At 54.7% G+C, this 16430-nt stretch overlaps 1 protein-coding gene and 1 long non-coding RNA gene across 2 annotated transcripts, besides 6 other annotated features; one reads left to right on the top strand and one right to left on the bottom strand.

Moving 5' to 3' along the window:
• Positions 1–7448: 7448 nt before the first annotated feature.
• On the bottom strand, positions 7449–13419 carry UPK3B (uroplakin 3B). The gene is made up of 6 exons (NM_001347684.2): positions 13234–13419; positions 12919–13068; positions 12089–12314; positions 10808–10887; positions 9895–10024; positions 7449–8926 (listed from the first exon to the last, which is right to left on the bottom strand). Exons 1-6 carry the CDS (start codon positions 13316–13318, stop codon positions 8767–8769), a joined length of 831 nt encoding a protein of 276 aa, NP_001334613.1. The 5' UTR covers positions 13319–13419; the 3' UTR covers positions 7449–8766.
• Positions 10102–10751: an enhancer, noted in NCBI's record as "H3K27ac-H3K4me1 hESC enhancer chr7:76142537-76143186 (GRCh37/hg19 assembly coordinates)". NCBI's record gives its function as "activates a minimal SCP1, AML or CMV promoter by ChIP-STARR-seq in primed H9 embryonic stem cells {active_cell/tissue: H9 hESC(primed)}" and the evidence as "EXISTENCE:reporter gene assay evidence [ECO:0000049][PMID:30033119]".
• Positions 10752–11403: an enhancer, noted in NCBI's record as "H3K27ac-H3K4me1 hESC enhancer chr7:76141885-76142536 (GRCh37/hg19 assembly coordinates)". NCBI's record gives its function as "activates a minimal SCP1, AML or CMV promoter by ChIP-STARR-seq in naive and primed H9 embryonic stem cells {active_cell/tissue: H9 hESC(naive and primed)}" and the evidence as "EXISTENCE:reporter gene assay evidence [ECO:0000049][PMID:30033119]".
• Positions 11404–12055: an enhancer, noted in NCBI's record as "H3K27ac-H3K4me1 hESC enhancer chr7:76141233-76141884 (GRCh37/hg19 assembly coordinates)". NCBI's record gives its function as "activates a minimal SCP1, AML or CMV promoter by ChIP-STARR-seq in naive H9 embryonic stem cells {active_cell/tissue: H9 hESC(naive)}" and the evidence as "EXISTENCE:reporter gene assay evidence [ECO:0000049][PMID:30033119]".
• Positions 12809–13381: an enhancer, noted in NCBI's record as "H3K27ac-H3K4me1 hESC enhancer chr7:76139907-76140479 (GRCh37/hg19 assembly coordinates)". NCBI's record gives its function as "activates a minimal SCP1, AML or CMV promoter by ChIP-STARR-seq in naive H9 embryonic stem cells {active_cell/tissue: H9 hESC(naive)}" and the evidence as "EXISTENCE:reporter gene assay evidence [ECO:0000049][PMID:30033119]".
• On the top strand, positions 13238–15790 carry LOC124901675 (uncharacterized). Its single transcript, XR_007060388.1, has 2 exons — positions 13238–13447; positions 13863–15790. It is a non-coding gene; the product is annotated as an uncharacterized LOC124901675 (long non-coding RNA).
• Positions 13382–13954: an enhancer, noted in NCBI's record as "H3K27ac-H3K4me1 hESC enhancer chr7:76139334-76139906 (GRCh37/hg19 assembly coordinates)". NCBI's record gives its function as "activates a minimal SCP1, AML or CMV promoter by ChIP-STARR-seq in naive H9 embryonic stem cells {active_cell/tissue: H9 hESC(naive)}" and the evidence as "EXISTENCE:reporter gene assay evidence [ECO:0000049][PMID:30033119]".
• Positions 14832–15037: a silencer, noted in NCBI's record as "fragment chr7:76138251-76138456 (GRCh37/hg19 assembly coordinates)". NCBI's record gives its function as "represses an EF-1alpha promoter that drives an FKBP-Casp9 reporter gene in an ReSE screen in phorbol 12-myristate 13-acetate-treated (for megakaryocytic differentiation) K562 erythroleukemia cells {active_cell/tissue: K562(+PMA)}" and the evidence as "EXISTENCE:reporter gene assay evidence [ECO:0000049][PMID:32094911]".
• Positions 15791–16430: the final 640 nt, after the last annotated feature.

The raw sequence follows: 16430 nt of genomic DNA, 5'->3' as shown, positions 1-16430 counted from the left end.
AAAATTAGCCAGGAGTGGTGGTGCACGCTATAGTCCCAGCTCTTCAGGAGGCTGAGGCACGAGAATCACTTGAACCTGGGAGGCAGAGATTGCAGTGAGCTGAGACTGTGCCACTGCACTCCAGCCTGGGTGACAGAGTGAGACTCTGTCTAAAAAAATATATATATATATTTGTATATTTCATTTTTATAAAGCCCTTTCTGGCCATTTACTAGCCCAGATTAAATAGTTTAGCTTTTTCTTTCCTCTTTTTTTTTTTTTGTCCATAGGCTAGTCAAATGAAGCAGTTGGAGTGGAGAAGGAACAAAAAAATCTGTAACTGGTTGTGATCAATTAGTGGTTAACACCGTTGCACTTTGACCAGCCTTTTCTTTTGAAAGAAATAATTTTAACATACCCAGTAAGGAGAAAGGGGGACAGGCGCGGTTGTTCATGCCTGTAATCCTAGCACTTTGGGAGGCCAAAGTGAGCAGATCACCTGAGGTCAGGAGTTCCAGACTAGCCTGACCAACGTGGAGAAACCCTGTCTCTACTAAAAATACAAAATTAGCCAGGTGTGGTGGTGCATGCCTGTAATCCCAGCTGCTCGTAAGGCTGAGGCAGAATTGCTTGAACCCGGGAGGCGGAGGTTGCGGTGAGCCGAGATCGTGCCGTTGCACTATAGCCTGGGCAACAAGAGCGAAACTCCATCTCAAAAAAAAAAAAAACATAAGACAACTGCTTCTGGAACCAGACTTCCTGGATCCTATTTTATTAGCTTTATAATCTCAAAAAAAGGAAATTTCCTGTTCCTTAATTTCCTCATCTGTAAAATGAAGATAATAAGTTCTATCTCATAAAGTTACTCAGCGGATTAATAATTTTTTAGGTTTATTTTATTTTGTTATTTTCTTTTTTTCTTGGTTTTTTTTGAGATGGAGTTTTGCTCTTGTCACCCAGGCTGGAATGCAGTGGCATGATCTGATCTTGGCTCACTGCAACCTCCACCTCCGAGGTTCAAGCAATTCTCCTCCCTCAGCCGCCCGAGGAGCTGAGATTACAGCCATGCACCATCACATCTGGCTAATTTTTGTATTTTTAGTAGAGACAGGGTTTTACCATGTTGGTTAGGCTGGTCTTGAACTCCTGACCTCAAATGATCAGCCCTGCTCCACCTCCCAAAGTGCTGGGATTATAGATGTGAGCCACTATTCCACGCCTATTTTATTTTATTTTATTGAGACGGAGTCTTGCTCTGTCCCAGGCTGGTGTGCGGTGGCACGATCTCGGCTCACTGCAACCTCTGCCTCCCGGGTTCAAGCCATTCTCATGCCTCAGCCTTCCAAGTAGCTGGGATTACAGGCTTCTGCCACCAGGTCTGGCTAATTTTTATATTTTTAGTAGAGACAGAGTTTCACCATTTTGGACAGGCTGGTCTCAAACTGCTGACCTCAGGTATCCACCCACCTTGGCCTCCCAAAGTGCTGGGATTACAGGTGTGAGCCACCACACCCGGCCTGCTTTATTTTTTTAATAGAGATGAGGTCTCACCATGTTGGCCAGGTTGGTCTTGAACTCTGGCCTCAAGCAATCCCCCCACCTCAGCCTCTCAAAGGGCTAGGATTACAGGCGTCAGACACCACGCCCAGCTATTCTGCAAATTAAATGAGATATTTCTGTGCAATTCTTAGCATAACACCTGCCTGGCACACCATAAGAACACAAGAAAAGCTGTCGTTATTATTATTACTACCTAGCTAAGTACTAGGCACATAATAGGTGCTAACTTTAACTTAAAAATAATAGTTTATTACTACATCAACACTTGATAGTCTTATTTCAATAACAAATGTTTCTTGACTACAACAACACACACTAATCATTTCTTGTGGCTTAAAACTCTCCCAAACTTACCAATATTAGTGGCACCAGCATCCAGACTGTTTTCTACTAACTCCTTCACTGCAGTGCTTAGACTCAGTACCACTGGCCCAGAGCATATCTGATGGACTGACTTCCGATCAATAGGTTTGATGGCCTTAGCAGGTTCTGTACTAAAGAAATGTTACAAGAAACAAAGCAAGTATTCAGCTATATATTTTCATCCTGATTTTAACTGTGGGAAATGACTCAACACTGTAAATAGTTTATGGGTCTAATCTGTTCAGTTATTATATTAACAAATACATTTATTATATCCAGAAATAGAAACACTGTTTTACAATCCTTAAACATGTACCCAAAATACTTCTGGATAGATACTTCAAATTCAACAGATCCTTACTATCTAGGATCCACATGGAGAAAACATACATTGTATCTCTCAAATTACCAAAACCTTTGGCAACAATGGTGTCTTCTTTCTTGAAAACTGAAAGCATGGCCTGGTGGGGTGGCTCATGCCTGTAATCGGCTAATTTTTGTATTTTTTTAAAGTAGAGATGGGGTTTCACCACGTCGGCCAGGCTGGTCTTGAACTCCTGACCTCAAGTGATCCACCCGCCTCGGCCTCCCAAAGTGCTGGGATTACAGGCATGAGCCACTGCACCCGGCCCACCTGGATAACTTCTAAAAATATTTTATAGAGATTAGATGTTGGTATGTTTTATTTTGTTTTGCTTTTTTTGAGACAGAGCCTCGCTCTGTCATCCAGGCTGGAGTGCAGTGGTGTGATCTCAGCTCACTGCAACCTCCGCCTCCCGGGTTCAAGCAATTCTCCTGCCTCAGCCTCCCAAGTAGCTGAAATTACAGGCGCCCATCACCATGCCTGGCTAATTTTTGTATTTTTAGTAGAGATGGCGTTTCACCATGCTGGCCAGGCTGGTCTCGAACTCCTGACCTCAAGTGATCCGCCTGCCTTGGCCTCCCAAAGTGCTGGGATTGCAGATGTGAGCCGCCACACCTGTCTGAACCTAGATTCTGTTCTTGCAGTGTGAAGTTCCTGAATGTTATGGGAGCAGAGGTGCGATGTGATCAGGTTTAGAACCTGGTCCTGGCTGGGTGCAGTGGCTCACACCTGTAATCCCAGCACTTTGGGAGGCCGAGGTAGGTGGATCACCCGACGTCAGGAGTTTGAGACCAGCCTGGTCAACATGGTGAAATCCCGTCTACTAAAAATACAAAAAAATTAGCCAGGCACAGTGGCGCACATTTATAGTCTCAGCTACCTGGGAGGCTGAGGCAGGAGAATCGTTTGAACCTGAAGCTGGAGGTTGCAGTGAGCCGAGATCACACCACTGCACTCCAGCCTAGGCAACAGAGTGAGACTCTATCTTAAAAAAAAAAAAAGAACAAAGAACCTGGTCCCTCTGGATACTGAGAGGGGAATGGGCGACGGGCAGGAGTGGACATGGAGAGTTCAGCTAGAGAGGAGCCACGGACATCCCAGCGGGAGACCAAGGTGGCTCTTGCTTGGGGATTGCAGGGATGATGGAGAGAAATGGGTGGCTTAGACACTCCAGGGAGGTAAAGCGATCGCTGGAAGTGAGAGCGAGGGAGGGGTGCTTCCTGGCTGCCTGTGCCCACCTGCTGCCATCCGAATTCCTTTGATGTTTGGCCTGCTGAGTCATCTGCAAGTCATTACCCCGCAACAGTTGCTGTTTTTCCTTTTTAACAATGCATTTGTTTCGAACCATTGAGCCATTATGTTCCCGGCCAATGGATTTTGTGGTGTTTCCCCAACTACACAGTCCTGGGGAATATTTTAAATGCCATTTAATAAAAAGTTCTGCACAATGCCGTTCCCGTGACATGTTCTGCTCAAAGCCGTCACGAGCTGGTATTCAAGGGGATGGGGTTCGGCTGAGGACCCTTTTAGGTGTGACTGTGCTGGGCAGAACGCCCTGGCATGGCTCCCCAGGGCCTGATGGGACTGTGCCTGTGCTGGGCAGTGCCCCCTCCCTTGGGTTCTTCTTCTTCTTTTTTTTTTTTCTTCAGATGGAGTCTCGCTGTGTTGCCCAGGCTGGAGTGCAGTGGTGTGATCTCGGCTCACTACAACCTCTGCCTCCTAGATTCAAGCGATTCTCCTGCCTCAGCCTCCCGAGTAGCTGGGACTACAGGCACGAGCCACCGCATCTGGCTATTTTTTGTATTTTTAGTAGACACGGGGTTTTGCCATGGTGCCCAGGCTGGTCTCAAACTCCTGAGCTCAAGTGATCCACTTGCCTCAGCCACCCAAAGGGCTGGGATTACAGGTGTGAGCCACCATGCCCAGTCTTGTCTTTCAAAAATATTAACGATGTATTAATGTTCTTGTGGAACACACCTGCCGTTAAGATGACATCCCCAGAACCCCTTTTCCTGGGGCCTTGCCGTAAAGCAAACTGTGGTGGTGCACTCACTTGCAAAGCACAGAAGACCCCAATTTTTGCATTCACGCCCAGGCCACATCAGAAACTGGGCATGGCCTCTTCCATCTGCCTTATCTCCCAATTCCTGCGGCCACCTCCTGCATATTTCTGGAATCCAACTCTTCCTCTCCAATCCTCTGTGTCTGCCCTGGTTCAGATCTGGTTCTTCCCAGCCCACAATCCCTGCTACCACCCCTTGGCCACCATGGGTGCCACTGCAGAACAGGACCGTATACACCCCTGGTCTCTCTGAGTAGCTCTCTCTCCTCCTCTCTCCTTCTTCCCTCTTTTTAAAAAAACTTTTTAGAGATGGGGTCTTGCTGTGTTGCCCAGGCTGGTCTTGAACTCTTAGGCTCAAGAGATCCTCCTGCCTCGGCCTCCTTCTTCCATTTGCCCTTCAAAATTCAGCTCAAGGCCGGGCATGGTGGCTGTCACCTGTAATCCCAGCACTTTGGGAGGCTGAGGTGGGAGGATCTGTTGAACTCAGGAATTTAAGACCAGCCTGGCCAGCATGGTGAAATCCTGTCTCTACTAAAAATACAAAAAAATTAGCCAGGCATGATGGCAGGCGCCTGTAATCCCAGCTACTTGGGAGGCTCAGGCAGGAGAATCACTTGAACCCGGGAGGTGGAGGTTGCAGTGAGCCAAGATCATGCCACTGCACTCCAGCCTGGGCAACAGAGCAAGATTCGATCTCAAAAGAAAAGAAAAGAAAAGAAAAAAAGAGTCAGCTCAGAAATAACCCCAGGGACCAGGCGTGGTGGCTCATACCTGTAACCCCAGCACTTTGGGAGGCCAAGGCAGATGGATCACCTGAGGTCAGGAGTTCAAGACCAGCCTGGCTAACATGGTGAAATTTCATCTCTACTAAAAATACAAAAATTAGCTGGGTGTAGTGGCAGGCGCCTGTAATCCCAGCTACTCCAGAGGCTGAGGCAGTAGAATTGCTTGAACCCAGGAGGCAGAGGTTGCAGTGACCTGAGATCGCACTGTTGCACTCCAGCCTGGGCAACAAGAACAAAACTCGGTCTCAAAAAAAAAAAAAAGAAAAAAGAAAAAGAAAAGAAAGAAAGAACCCCTAGGAAGCCCCCTTGGCTCTCAGTGGGGGCCAGTAGCCTCCCCTGGACTCCTGGACTATGATTCAGTCTTTACACCCTAGGTTCCAAGATCTGTTTAGAGGGTGTTTCCAAAGTCAAGTTCCAGGTGGCTCCTGAGGGTGATGGCAGCTCCTCAGTGGGCTCAGAGAGGCTGTGCAGAAGGGAGGGGCAGCTGCAGGCTCGAATGGGAAGTCCCTGGCGCTGCGTCTGGCATCAGCACGGATTCAGACAGTGAGAACAAACATAGAAGGGCCCCAGGACATGCAAAAGCCTGTGGCCAACATGGCGAAACCCCATCTCTATTGAAAGTACAAAAATTAGCTGGGTGTGGTGGCAGGCACCTGTGATCCCAGCGACTCAGGAGACCAAGGCTCGAGAATCACTTTAACCTGGGAAGTGGAGGTTGTGGTGAGCAGAGATCACGCCACAGCACTCCAGCCTGGGCAACAGAGTGAGACTCCACGTTAAAAAAAAAAAAAAAAAGCCATGGCAATCCTGCTCCTAGCTGGTCCTTGAACCCTGGGAGGATTAATTCATCTTTTCACACAGCAAACACCAACGGCCCCCTCCTTCTCCCTGTCATACCCCTCCGGGGCCGGGCCCCTAGCCAACTGTCTTGGGTCTGGATAGAACAGCGTGAGACAGTCTCTGCTGAAGGGTCACTGACAGGGAGGTGGTCTTTTAACTCTATCTTTTTTTTTTTTTTTTTTTTGAGTTGGAGTCTCGCTCTGTCGTCCAAGCTGGAGTGCAGTGGCACGATCTCGGCTCACTGCAACCTCCGTTTCCCAGGTTCAAGTGATTCTCCTGCCTCAGCCTGCCAAGTAGCTGAGATTACAGGCACCCACCACCACACCAGGCTAATTTTTGTATTTTTAGCAGAGACAGGGTTTCACCATGTTGGCCAGGCTGCTCTCAAACCCCTGACCTCAAGTAATCCGCCTGCCCTGGCCTCCCAAAGTTGGGATTACAGGCATGAGACACCAAGCCCGTCTGTTAACTCTCTCTCAGTTCCAGGCAGAGGGACCTGGGCTCCACCGTGGTGGGGTTTTTTTGTTTGTTTGTGTGTTTTGTTTTGTTTTGGAGACGGAGTCTTGCTCTGTCACCCAAACTGGAGGGCAGTGGCAAGACCTTGGCTCACTGCAACCTCCACCTTCTGGGTTCAAGTGATTCTCCTGCTTCAGCCTCCCGAGTAGCTGGGATTCCAGGCCCCCACCACCATGCCCTGCTAATTTTTGTATTTTTGGTAGAGACAGGGTTTTGCCACATTGGCCAGGCTGGTCTCTAACTCCTGACCTTAAGTGATCTGCCCACCTCAGCCTCCCAAAGTCCTGGGATTACAGGTGTGAGCCACTGCGCCTGGCCTGTTCGTTCAAGACAGGGTCTCACTCTATTGTCCAGGCTGGAGTGCGGTGGCACGATCACGGCTCACTGCAGCCTTAAACTCCTGGGCTCAGGTGATCCTCCTGCCTCAGCCTCCCGAGTAGCTGGGACTAGAGGTGCACACCACCACCCCTGGCTAATCTTTTTTTTCATTTTTAGTAGAGATAGAGTCTCACTATGTTGTTGCCCCAGCTGGTCTGGAACTCCTGGGGTCAAGTAATCCTTCTGCCTGAGCCTCTCAAAGTGCTAGGATTCCGGGTGTGAGCCATGCAATAGTGTAACTTAAAGGGGCTGGCTCCCCTGGCCAGACGTCACCTGGGACACCAAGGAATTTGACTGAATCTGTTTCTGTCTATACCTGAAGGGGTTCTGGTGGCTGGTGGGGGTGCAGGCAGCATGGAGGAGAAGCCTCCAGAGATGAGGGGCTCAAGGGCTTGCTTGGGAGGGAGCACTACCTAAACCACATACCTGGCCCTGAAACACATGTGTGGATTTTCCTAGGAGATGGGGGCACCTCAAAGTACAAGCCGGGACAGCAATCAAGGGACAGGCTCAGGGTAACCCCATGGGGCAGAAGCTGAGCAGGGCCCTGGGCTCCCGGCATAAATTTCCTGTCCCAGCAGGGGCACCATTCAGGCCAGGGTGGGCTCCAGACCGCATTTATTCACCTCCAAAGAGGGCTGCAGACCAAGGGTCACCACCGGGCTCCCTCCGCTGGCAGGGCCTGCATGCCGGGAGCCGTGGTCACATTAGAAGGTCCGGGAGCGCAGCCCAAGGGGGCGTGTGCAGCGGCCGTGGACAGAGTGCAGCGGGCAAGTCACTGAGCCTCAGTTTCTCCATCTAGAAAACCGCTGCGGCTGTGCGGACTGCATGGCACGCAGTGGGCTCTCAGGCGTGATTGCTCATCCCTCTGGCTTGGCGGAGGGAGGCCTAGAGTCCTGACCTTCACCGACCCCGCCAACGTGGCATCTGCTACCGCCTCGGAGGCAGAAGGGGCAGCGAATAGCAGCGAGCATGCACACTGGCCGTGAGGCGGCCTGGCTGCGGCTCACCGGCGACCCCGAGTGGCGACGACGGGAACCACCGGCCTTGTGCACAGATGGACGCTTGAGGTTTTGCACAGAGGGTCCTTCCAGGTGATGGAGGCTCCTGGGTCCTGGAGAGCCTACTGGGGTGACGGTCTAAGGGCCTGATAGACCCCCGACAGCAACAGGTCACATCTGGACACGTGGTCGTCTCAGGTCTAGAGAAGGCATCTCCCCAAGGTCAGGACCGGCTATGCCTGAAGCCCCAAGTCTAACACTGTATGTAGCATACAGCAGATGCTTAATAAATGCTTGAGGGGGTGGATAAGGGCTAGAGCCATCCATATGCACAAGAGGGTTGGAGGTGGTGGCCAGAATTGGTAGTCAGATGACCATGGAGAGTCCCACTCTCAGAAAGGTGCTGTGCCCAGGGGCAGTAGAGATGCCTCTGAATCCTCACCCCGCCCAGCCACTGATGTGTGGGATGGGGGACGGAGGGTGGCTCAGGTCTCATAGGCCCCAGGATGGGCCCAGCTCCCTGCATCAGGCAAAGCACAGTCCTCTGCAGGCCTCCTCCCAGGGTCTGGAAGCTTGCGGTCAGGGCGGCCTGTCCACACAGTCTCCAGCCTCCCTCGCAGGAGGTCAGGTGAGACAGAGGTGGGGATGGAGGTGGGGACTGGGTATCCAGCCTGCCCATGGCCCTCCCCTAAACCCTCCTGAGTGCAACTTACAGATGCTTGGAGAGGGAGAGAAACCAGAAAGGCAGAGGAGAGGCAGGGGGGCTGGTGCTGGGATTCCAGGCAGGGTACGGGGTGTGCTGGTGGGGGGGAAAGGCAAGGAGCCCTGAGGGGGCCTGTGGGTGCAGGAGCTGGGACAAAGCACCATGCACTCACTCCCAGCGCCCCATCTCCCCCAGCCCCATGCAAAGAGGCCAGGCTAGGGGCTGAGGCTGGGGAGGGGGTCCAGGCCAGGCTTGCAGCCCACCGGCAGTGTGGCGGCCTCTCTGGGTGGGATGTGGTGGGTCATGTAGCGCTTGCCCATGAAGGAGCCGATCCGCAGCTGCTCCGGGGCCTCCTCCGGCCACCACAGGCTGGAGCTGGGCGGGGAGAGGAGGAGGAAGAGACATATGTCCCTGCCACATGGGGCACGTGCTGGGTCAAGGCCTGCTCTCCTCCCTCCCAGCTCCCTCATGTGTAGTCTCTCTCTCTCTCTTTTCTTTTTTTTTTTTTTTTTTTGAGATGGAGTCTGGCTCTGTCACCCAGGCTGGAGTGCGGTGGTGTGATCTAAGCTCACTGTAACCTTCGCCACCCGGGTTCAAACGATTCTCCTGCCTCAGCCTCCCGAGTAGCTGGGATTACAGGTGCCTGCCACCACACCCGGACAATTTTTGCATTTTTAGTGGAGATGGGGTTTCACCATGTTGCTCAGGCTGGTCTTGAACTTTTGGCCTCCAGTGATCCTCCCACCTCGGCCTCCCAAAGTGCTAGGATTACAGGCATGTGCCACTGCACCCGGCCTCACCTGCAGTCTCTGATCCCTCCTTCCTCCCTTCTAGAACCAATTGGAGGACCACCTCTCCAGGTGGCCACCCTGACTACCCTGGCGTCAGCTTACTAAACCACCAGAGGATCCACAGACAGCAGGTGAGGCCCGGGAGGAGAAGGGCCTTGGCTGAGGACACACTGAAAAGACAGGGCCCGAGTGAGGCGGGACCTCCCGAACCTGTCCTCAGAGGGGCTGCTGGCCCCATCAATGACCCCTGAGGTGCGAGATACTCAGGGTGGGAGTTCCCTGCACAGGCCCTGGGAGGGGCGCTGCCCAGCTCGAAACCACGGGGCTCGGCAAGGTGGCTCACACCTGTAATCCTAATACTTTGGGAGGCCGAGACGGGAGGATCGCTTGAGCCCAGCAGTTCCAGACCAGCCTGGGCAACATAGCAAGTCCCTGTCTCTACCAAAAATAAAATAAACCCCATGGCATGCCTGGAGGGCTTCCAGACACTGGGACCAATTCAACAGAGGGGTTCTGGGTGGGAGAGGGGCCCGAGGGGGTGTCCCCACTCACAAGCGCATGGTAGAGGCTGCCAAGAAGGCCAAGAGTAGGAGGCCGGCCAGAGAAGAGAGGATGGAGGTAATGACGATCATGCTGCCACTTCGCCGCCCTGGCCAGGTGTCGATGGATCCGGGGGTCTTCCCTGCACACACACCAGCTGCTCAGAGGGGCTGCCCCTCGACCCCAGGGCTGGCTGTCATCTCCTCCCTCGCTCCCTCCCCACCCACGCTGGCCTAGCTTCAAGGTCTGGCTGTCTCATATCCCCAGGCGCCCCCCTGATCCCACCCCCCGTCCCTCTTCCTCGGGACGGCACAGCATCTGTTCTCTGCCAGCCTGGACCACAGCCTCCGCCCTGCTCCTACCTTCTAGGCTGCTCCCACCCACGTGCTCATCCACTGCCCTGCTCCCTGGAGCCCAGCAGTCAAGGCCTTCAGATGACAAGACTTCCACCCCACACCCCCTGACCTCTGAAGCCGTCTCCCAGGAGACCCCCACCCCCGACACCTGGGCCGTGGCACTCGAAACTTCTGGGCTTGGTACATTCACGCTTGCCCCTTGGGGTCTGCTCAGAACTCAAGCTGGCTGCCTCCCCAGCCAGCCCCGACCCTGACCCTGACCTCCTCCACACCCTCTTCCTCCCTCCCAGCAGGGGCTGACACAGGCTGACTCCCTACAGGAGGGGGGAGGCTGTCTGTGCCCACAATGTGGCAAACGCTTGCGGATGGGCCGAGATGGTGCCCCTGCCGAGGGGGCTGGCTGGGTGCCCCACTCCCCCAGCATGAGGTTCTGTTGGGGGCTGGGCCCGACTTGGACATGGCCTCCAGGCCCCCAGCCCTGTGGGAGCAGGGGTGTGGCCAGCTCAGCAGAGGCGGCCCAGAGAGATCGTGAGTCCACTGGGGGCAGCGCCCCTCCTGCCCAGCGCTACCTTGGTGGAGAGTGATGGGGTCTGACCACTTGGTCTCAGCCCTGGGTGAGCCCCTGGTGTCCATCAGGAGGAACTTCACCCTGGGGATGGGAGGTGGTGGGGGAGGAGGGGAGAGCTTCAGAGGCTGGGACCACCCTGGGCAGGGCCAAGCCCCAGGCAGCTCCTCTGGGGCCCTCCCATGGATGTGGAGTGGGGGTGCCCGTCAAGAGCAGCAGCCCATGGCCTGGCCCTGCTCTGAGAATCCCCTGAGATGTCTCCAGCCACTTGGCCTGTGCCACCACCCCTCATCCCCCCGAGCAATTGCTCTCCAGACACCAGACCTGGGCCGGGGATGCTGGTTTAGGGGCCCTGGTTCCTAAATGTCACAAGCCAAAAGAGCAGGTGAAGGTGGCTTAGCAGGGCACATGGGGCAGGGGTCACAGGCCTCCCAGAGGGGCAGCAGTAGCCGGGGGCAGGGGGCTCAATCACCAGCAGCCTGAGGACCCAGGGCACCAGGAGCCCCGCAGAGGGCCTCGGTTTGTCTCTTTGCAGGGCTGGGAGCTCTGCAAGGCCTGGGAAGCGGGGAAGGACCTGGCAGGTTGGCATTGAAAAGAGTGGCTGCGGGGGATGGGGCGGGGCATGGAGCTGGAAGGCTGAGCCAGGGTGAGGCAGCGGGGAGGGCAGAGGGTGGACCTGGAGAGTGGGTGAGAGGGCAGAAGGGGGCTGGGCGGAGCGGGGTGCTGTTCCAGCCTCACCACGCCCTGCCTTCCCGGCTTCCCCTGGGCCTGGTCTTCCTGAGGTCACCCCGCCTCCTCCTGTGTCCGGACAGTCCTGACCTGGACACACTGCCTGCTTCCCCATCCCGGCTCCACCCCGATGTTGGCAGGCCACTTGACCTCCTGTGCCTCAGTTTCCTCATCTGTAAGAGCGGGTAGGAGCCACCTCTCCTGCTCCCTGCCTAATACCGACGAGACTGGGTCTGAACTCGGCCCCCGAGTTTCCTGCCAGATCTGCCCGTGGTGGGGGACAGGGGCCTAGACTTTGGGGAAGCTGCCCCCTCCCACCTTGACTAAGATCCCGCCTCCCCAAGGTGCCCACCTGCTCCTCCTGGGCCTTGCCCGGCCCCAGCGGGGGTGAGCACTGTTGCTGACTCTACAGTGGAAGGAGCCCGGGCTTGCAAAGGGGAGGACCGGGGCCGGGGACCCCTCCCTGGAAAGATGCTAGAGAGAGCATCCCTGGTCCCAGCAATGCGTCCGCCCCAAGCACAGCCCCAGTCCCAGGGCTCCGGTGGGGACCACCCACCGATAGGGTCCAGGGCCAGGGAGGGGCGCGTTGCAGAAGGGCTGCTGGTGGCAGCCGTGGTCATGGCCCACCCGCAGCACGGGGGCGCCTCCGCTGCCCGCCATGGGGTCGCCACAGGGCAGCTGGTCCGGAGACAGGGGCAGCGTCATGTAGTGGCCATCGGTCAGCAGCTGTGGGGAGGCCGGAATGTCAGCCAGTGTCTCCGGGTTCTGGAAGCCCCTGGAGGCTGCAGGAGGAGAGAACAGATGGAGGTGGGAGGGGAGAAAGCAGCTTTGTCCTTATGAGTGGGGGTTCTGTGTTCGCCCAGTCTCCAGCCCTGACCCCCCATGCCACCTCCTCCCTCAGGGCCCCCAGAGATAGTCCAGACCCAGTCGACTTTGTTACCCCTGAAGGGGAGCTTCCCTCTGGCCTTTTGTCCCCACCCAGAGCCAGGAGTGGGGAGCAGCGGGCAGTCCCAACCTGCCCAGCCCCAGCCCCAGCCCCATTGCAGTGCACCGGCCCTGCCCCACAGGAGGCCACATCCTCCCAGGTCGCAGCCTCGGTTCCCTGTCCAAAGGAAGAACTACTTGGATTCAGAGAAAGGGTTGCAGAGCCCTTGACAGCTGACAAACCCACCACTAGCACTACTCCCGGGATTTGGTGTTCACTACGTGTGTATTTTTCAATACACATATTACCCCTTTAGATAAAGCCCAATTCATCCACACCTACTCTCCCAAAGGCCCCCACAGGGGCTCAATCATTGAAGGCGCTTGCTGGTGAGGGGCTCCTAGGGCCCACCACTCTCCTCAGCCGTCACCCTCACCCAGGCCCCACAGCAGTCCCCGTACCATTGCTGAAGGCCACCACGAGCCAGACGGTATCGCTGGCGCTGGCAAGCCCATCGAAGACACAGCGCGGCTGCTCCAGGGAGAAGGTGGTGGCTGTGACCTTCCCTTCCAGGTCCCAAGCTGTTATCTGTGGTGTGTAGGGCACCAGCTCTGTGGCCACGGGGGACAAAAGGTGAGCCACGGAGACGGGCGTGGGGGTCCCTGGGGCTGCCTCTCCCAATCGGAGGGGGGCGGGCGCCCAGGGTCCAATCACTCCAGCAGGGCCCCCAGCCCCTTGGGTCTGGCTGGACGCGTCCATCCAGGACCCCCACTCACCCAGGCTCAGGCTGGGCCGGAGACAGTTCAACGCCAGGAGGAGCATCTGCAGCCCTAGGTGAGGCTGCCCCCAGGGTAGCCCCATGACAGCTGCCAGCACCCGGGAGGCTCAGGGGCTGGTCTGGCTGCTTCGGGCTGCACCTCACCCCCAACAGCTTGGCCCTGGAGAAGCTGGTTAATCAGGCTGCCCCAGGGGCTGGAAAGACCTGCAAATGTAAGTGCACCCCACCCCCTTCCTCCCAGGCCAGCCCACAGCAGGGAGGAGCTGGGGGGACTCTGGTGGGAGGCAGGCCAGTATCCAGCCCCACTGCCAGGGCCAAGGGAGAGGGGCCACTGGAACCCCAGATGCCAGCCAGGCCATCCCGGAGCCTGGATTGGGGCCCCTCCCAGTCTCTCCGCCCTGGGGAGGAGGGTCTGGCTTTTGGAAACAGGCTCAGGACCACATGCCTGAGATTCCTGTGCCCCAGGTGCCAGGAGCCTCCCTCTGCCTTCTGTCCCCACCCAGAGTCAGGAGTGGGGAGTAGCAGGCAGCCCCAACCTGCCCAGCCCCATCCCCATCACAGCACGCTGGCCCTGCCCCCCACGAGGCCACATCCTCCCAGTTCGCAGCCTGGGTTCCCTGTCCACAGGAAGAAGAACTTGGATTCAGAGAAAGGGCTGCAGAGCCCTTGACAGCTGACAAGCCCGCCACTTAAACACTACTCCCGGGATTTGGCGCTCACTATGTGTGTATTTTTCAAGACATAACTCACATACCTTCACAACCTTCACAGCTCAGTGGCTTAAATATATATATGTCACCCAGGGAGGTCAGTTCACAGCTAACTGGAGCCTCAAACTCCCAGGTTCAGTTAATCCTCCCACCTCAGCCTTCCCAGTAGCTGGAACCACAGGCACACAACACCATGCTCCGGCTAATTTTTAAAATTTATTTAATTAATTTTTTTTTAAGATGGAGTCTCCTTTGTTGTCCAGGCTGGAGTGCAGTGGCGTGATCTGGGCTCACTGCAACCTCCGCCTCCTGGGTTCAAGCGATTCTCCTGCCTCAGCCTCCCAAGTAGCTGGGATTACAGGCATGTGCCCCACGGCCAGCTAATTTTTGTATTTTTAGTAGGGACGGGGTTTCACCATGTTGGCTTGGCTGGTCTCAAATTCCTGATCTCAAGTGATCCACCCGCCTTGGCCTCCCAAAGTGCTGGGATTACAGGCATGTGCCACCGTGCCTGGCACCCCCGCCAATTTTTTTTTTGTTTTTTTTGAAACGGAGTTTTCACTCTTGTTGCCCAGGCTGGAGTACAATGGCTCGATCTTGGCTCACCGCAACCTCCACCTCCTGGGTTCAAGTGATTCTCCTGCCTCAGCCTCCTGAGTAGCTGGGATTACAGGCATGTGCCACCACACCTGTCTAATTTTGTATTTTTAGTAGAGATAGGGTTTCTCCACGTTGGTGAGGCTGGTCTCGAACTCCTGACCTCAGGTGATCCACCCACCTCAGCCTCCCAAAGCGCTGGGATTGCAGGTGTGAGCCACTGCGCCCGGCTGGCCAATTTTTAAAAATGTATTTTTTATAGAAACAGGATCTTGCTATGTTGCCCAGGCTGATCTCTAACTCCTGGGAGGATCAAGCAAATCTCCTGCCTTGGCCTCCTAAAGTATTGGGATTACAGGCGTGAGCCACCGTGCCTGGCTATTTTTTTTTTTTTTTGAGACATGGAGTCTCACCCTGTCGCCCAGGCTGGAGTGCAATGGCGTGATCTCTGCTCACTGCAACCTCCACCTCCTGGGTTCAAGCAATTCTTCTGCCTCAGCCTCCCTAGTAGCTGGGACTACAGGCACCTACCACCATGCCCAGCTAATTTTTGTATTTTTAGTAGAGATGAGGTTTCACCAACTTGGCCAGGCTGGTCTCGAACGCCTGACCTCGCGATCTACCTGCCTTGGCCTCCCAAAGTGCTGGGATTACAGGCATGAGCCACTGCGCCCAGCTGCTAATTTTTAAAAATATAGTTTTTGAGGCTGGGTGTAGTGACTTACGGCGGTAATCCCAGCACTTTGGGAGGCCGAGGTGGGCAGGTCACTTGAGGTCATGAGTTCGAGACCAGCCTGGCGAACATGGTGAAACCCTGTCTCGACTAAAATTACAAAAATTAGCCGGGTGTGGTGGAACGTGCTTGTAATCCCAAGTACTCGGGAGGCTGAGGCAGGAGAATGACTTGAACCCGGGAGGCGGAGGTTGCAGTGAGCTGAGATCGCACCACCGCACTACAGCGTGGATGACAGAGTGAGACTCTGTCTCAAAAAAAATATAATAAAAATATATTTCTTGTAGAGACAGGGTCTCACTGTGTTGCCCAGCCTGGTCTTGAACTCCTGGCTCAAGGGATCCTCCTGCCTCAGCCTCCCAAAGTGCCCAGATTACAGGCATGAGCCACAGCGCCCAACAGCTTTTAGTATATCAACAAGGTTGTGCAACCATCACCAATTCCAGAACCTTCTTACTTCCCCAAAACGAAACACTACACCCATTAAACGGTAACTCTCCATTCTCCCGTCCCCAGTGACGACTAAGCTACTTCTTGTTTCCATGGTTTTGCCCGTAATGGACATTTCATAGGATGCAGTCACACAACATGTGACCTTTTGTGTCTGGCTTTTGTTACTTTTTCAAGGTTCCTCCTCGACTGTGATTGCTTCATTCCTTTTCACAGTTGAGTAATATTCCATCCTGTGAACGTATCACACTTTCATTCATCAGTGGATGCAGAATTTGTTTTTTTCCACTGTGGGGCTACTGTAAATAATGCTGCCATGAGCATCCGTGCGCAGGCTTCTGTGGGCACATTTTCAATTCTCTTGAGAATGTACCTAGGAGTGGAACTGTGGTCATATGCTAATGCTGCTTTCTGAGGTTCTGTTTGCCAAAGTGGCTGCATTTTACATTCCCAGTAGCAGTGGATGAGGGTCCCATTTCTCGACATCCTCTCCAACACTGCTTTTTGTTTTAGTATAGCCATCGTAATGGGTGTAGTGTGGCATCTCATGGTTTTGTTTTTATATATATTTTTTGAGACGGAGTCTTGCTCTGTCGCCAGGCTGGAGTACAGTGGCGTGATCTCGGCTCACTGCAACCTCTGCCTTCCGGGTTCAAGCAATTCTCCTGCCTCAGCCTCCCAAGTTAGCTGGAATTGTAGGTGCAC

This window comes from Homo sapiens, chromosome 7 (genome assembly GCF_000001405.40).
Source record: "Homo sapiens chromosome 7, GRCh38.p14 Primary Assembly".
Lineage (NCBI taxonomy): Eukaryota > Metazoa > Chordata > Mammalia > Primates > Hominidae > Homo > Homo sapiens.
This window is presented reverse-complemented; position numbering and strand designations above follow the sequence as displayed.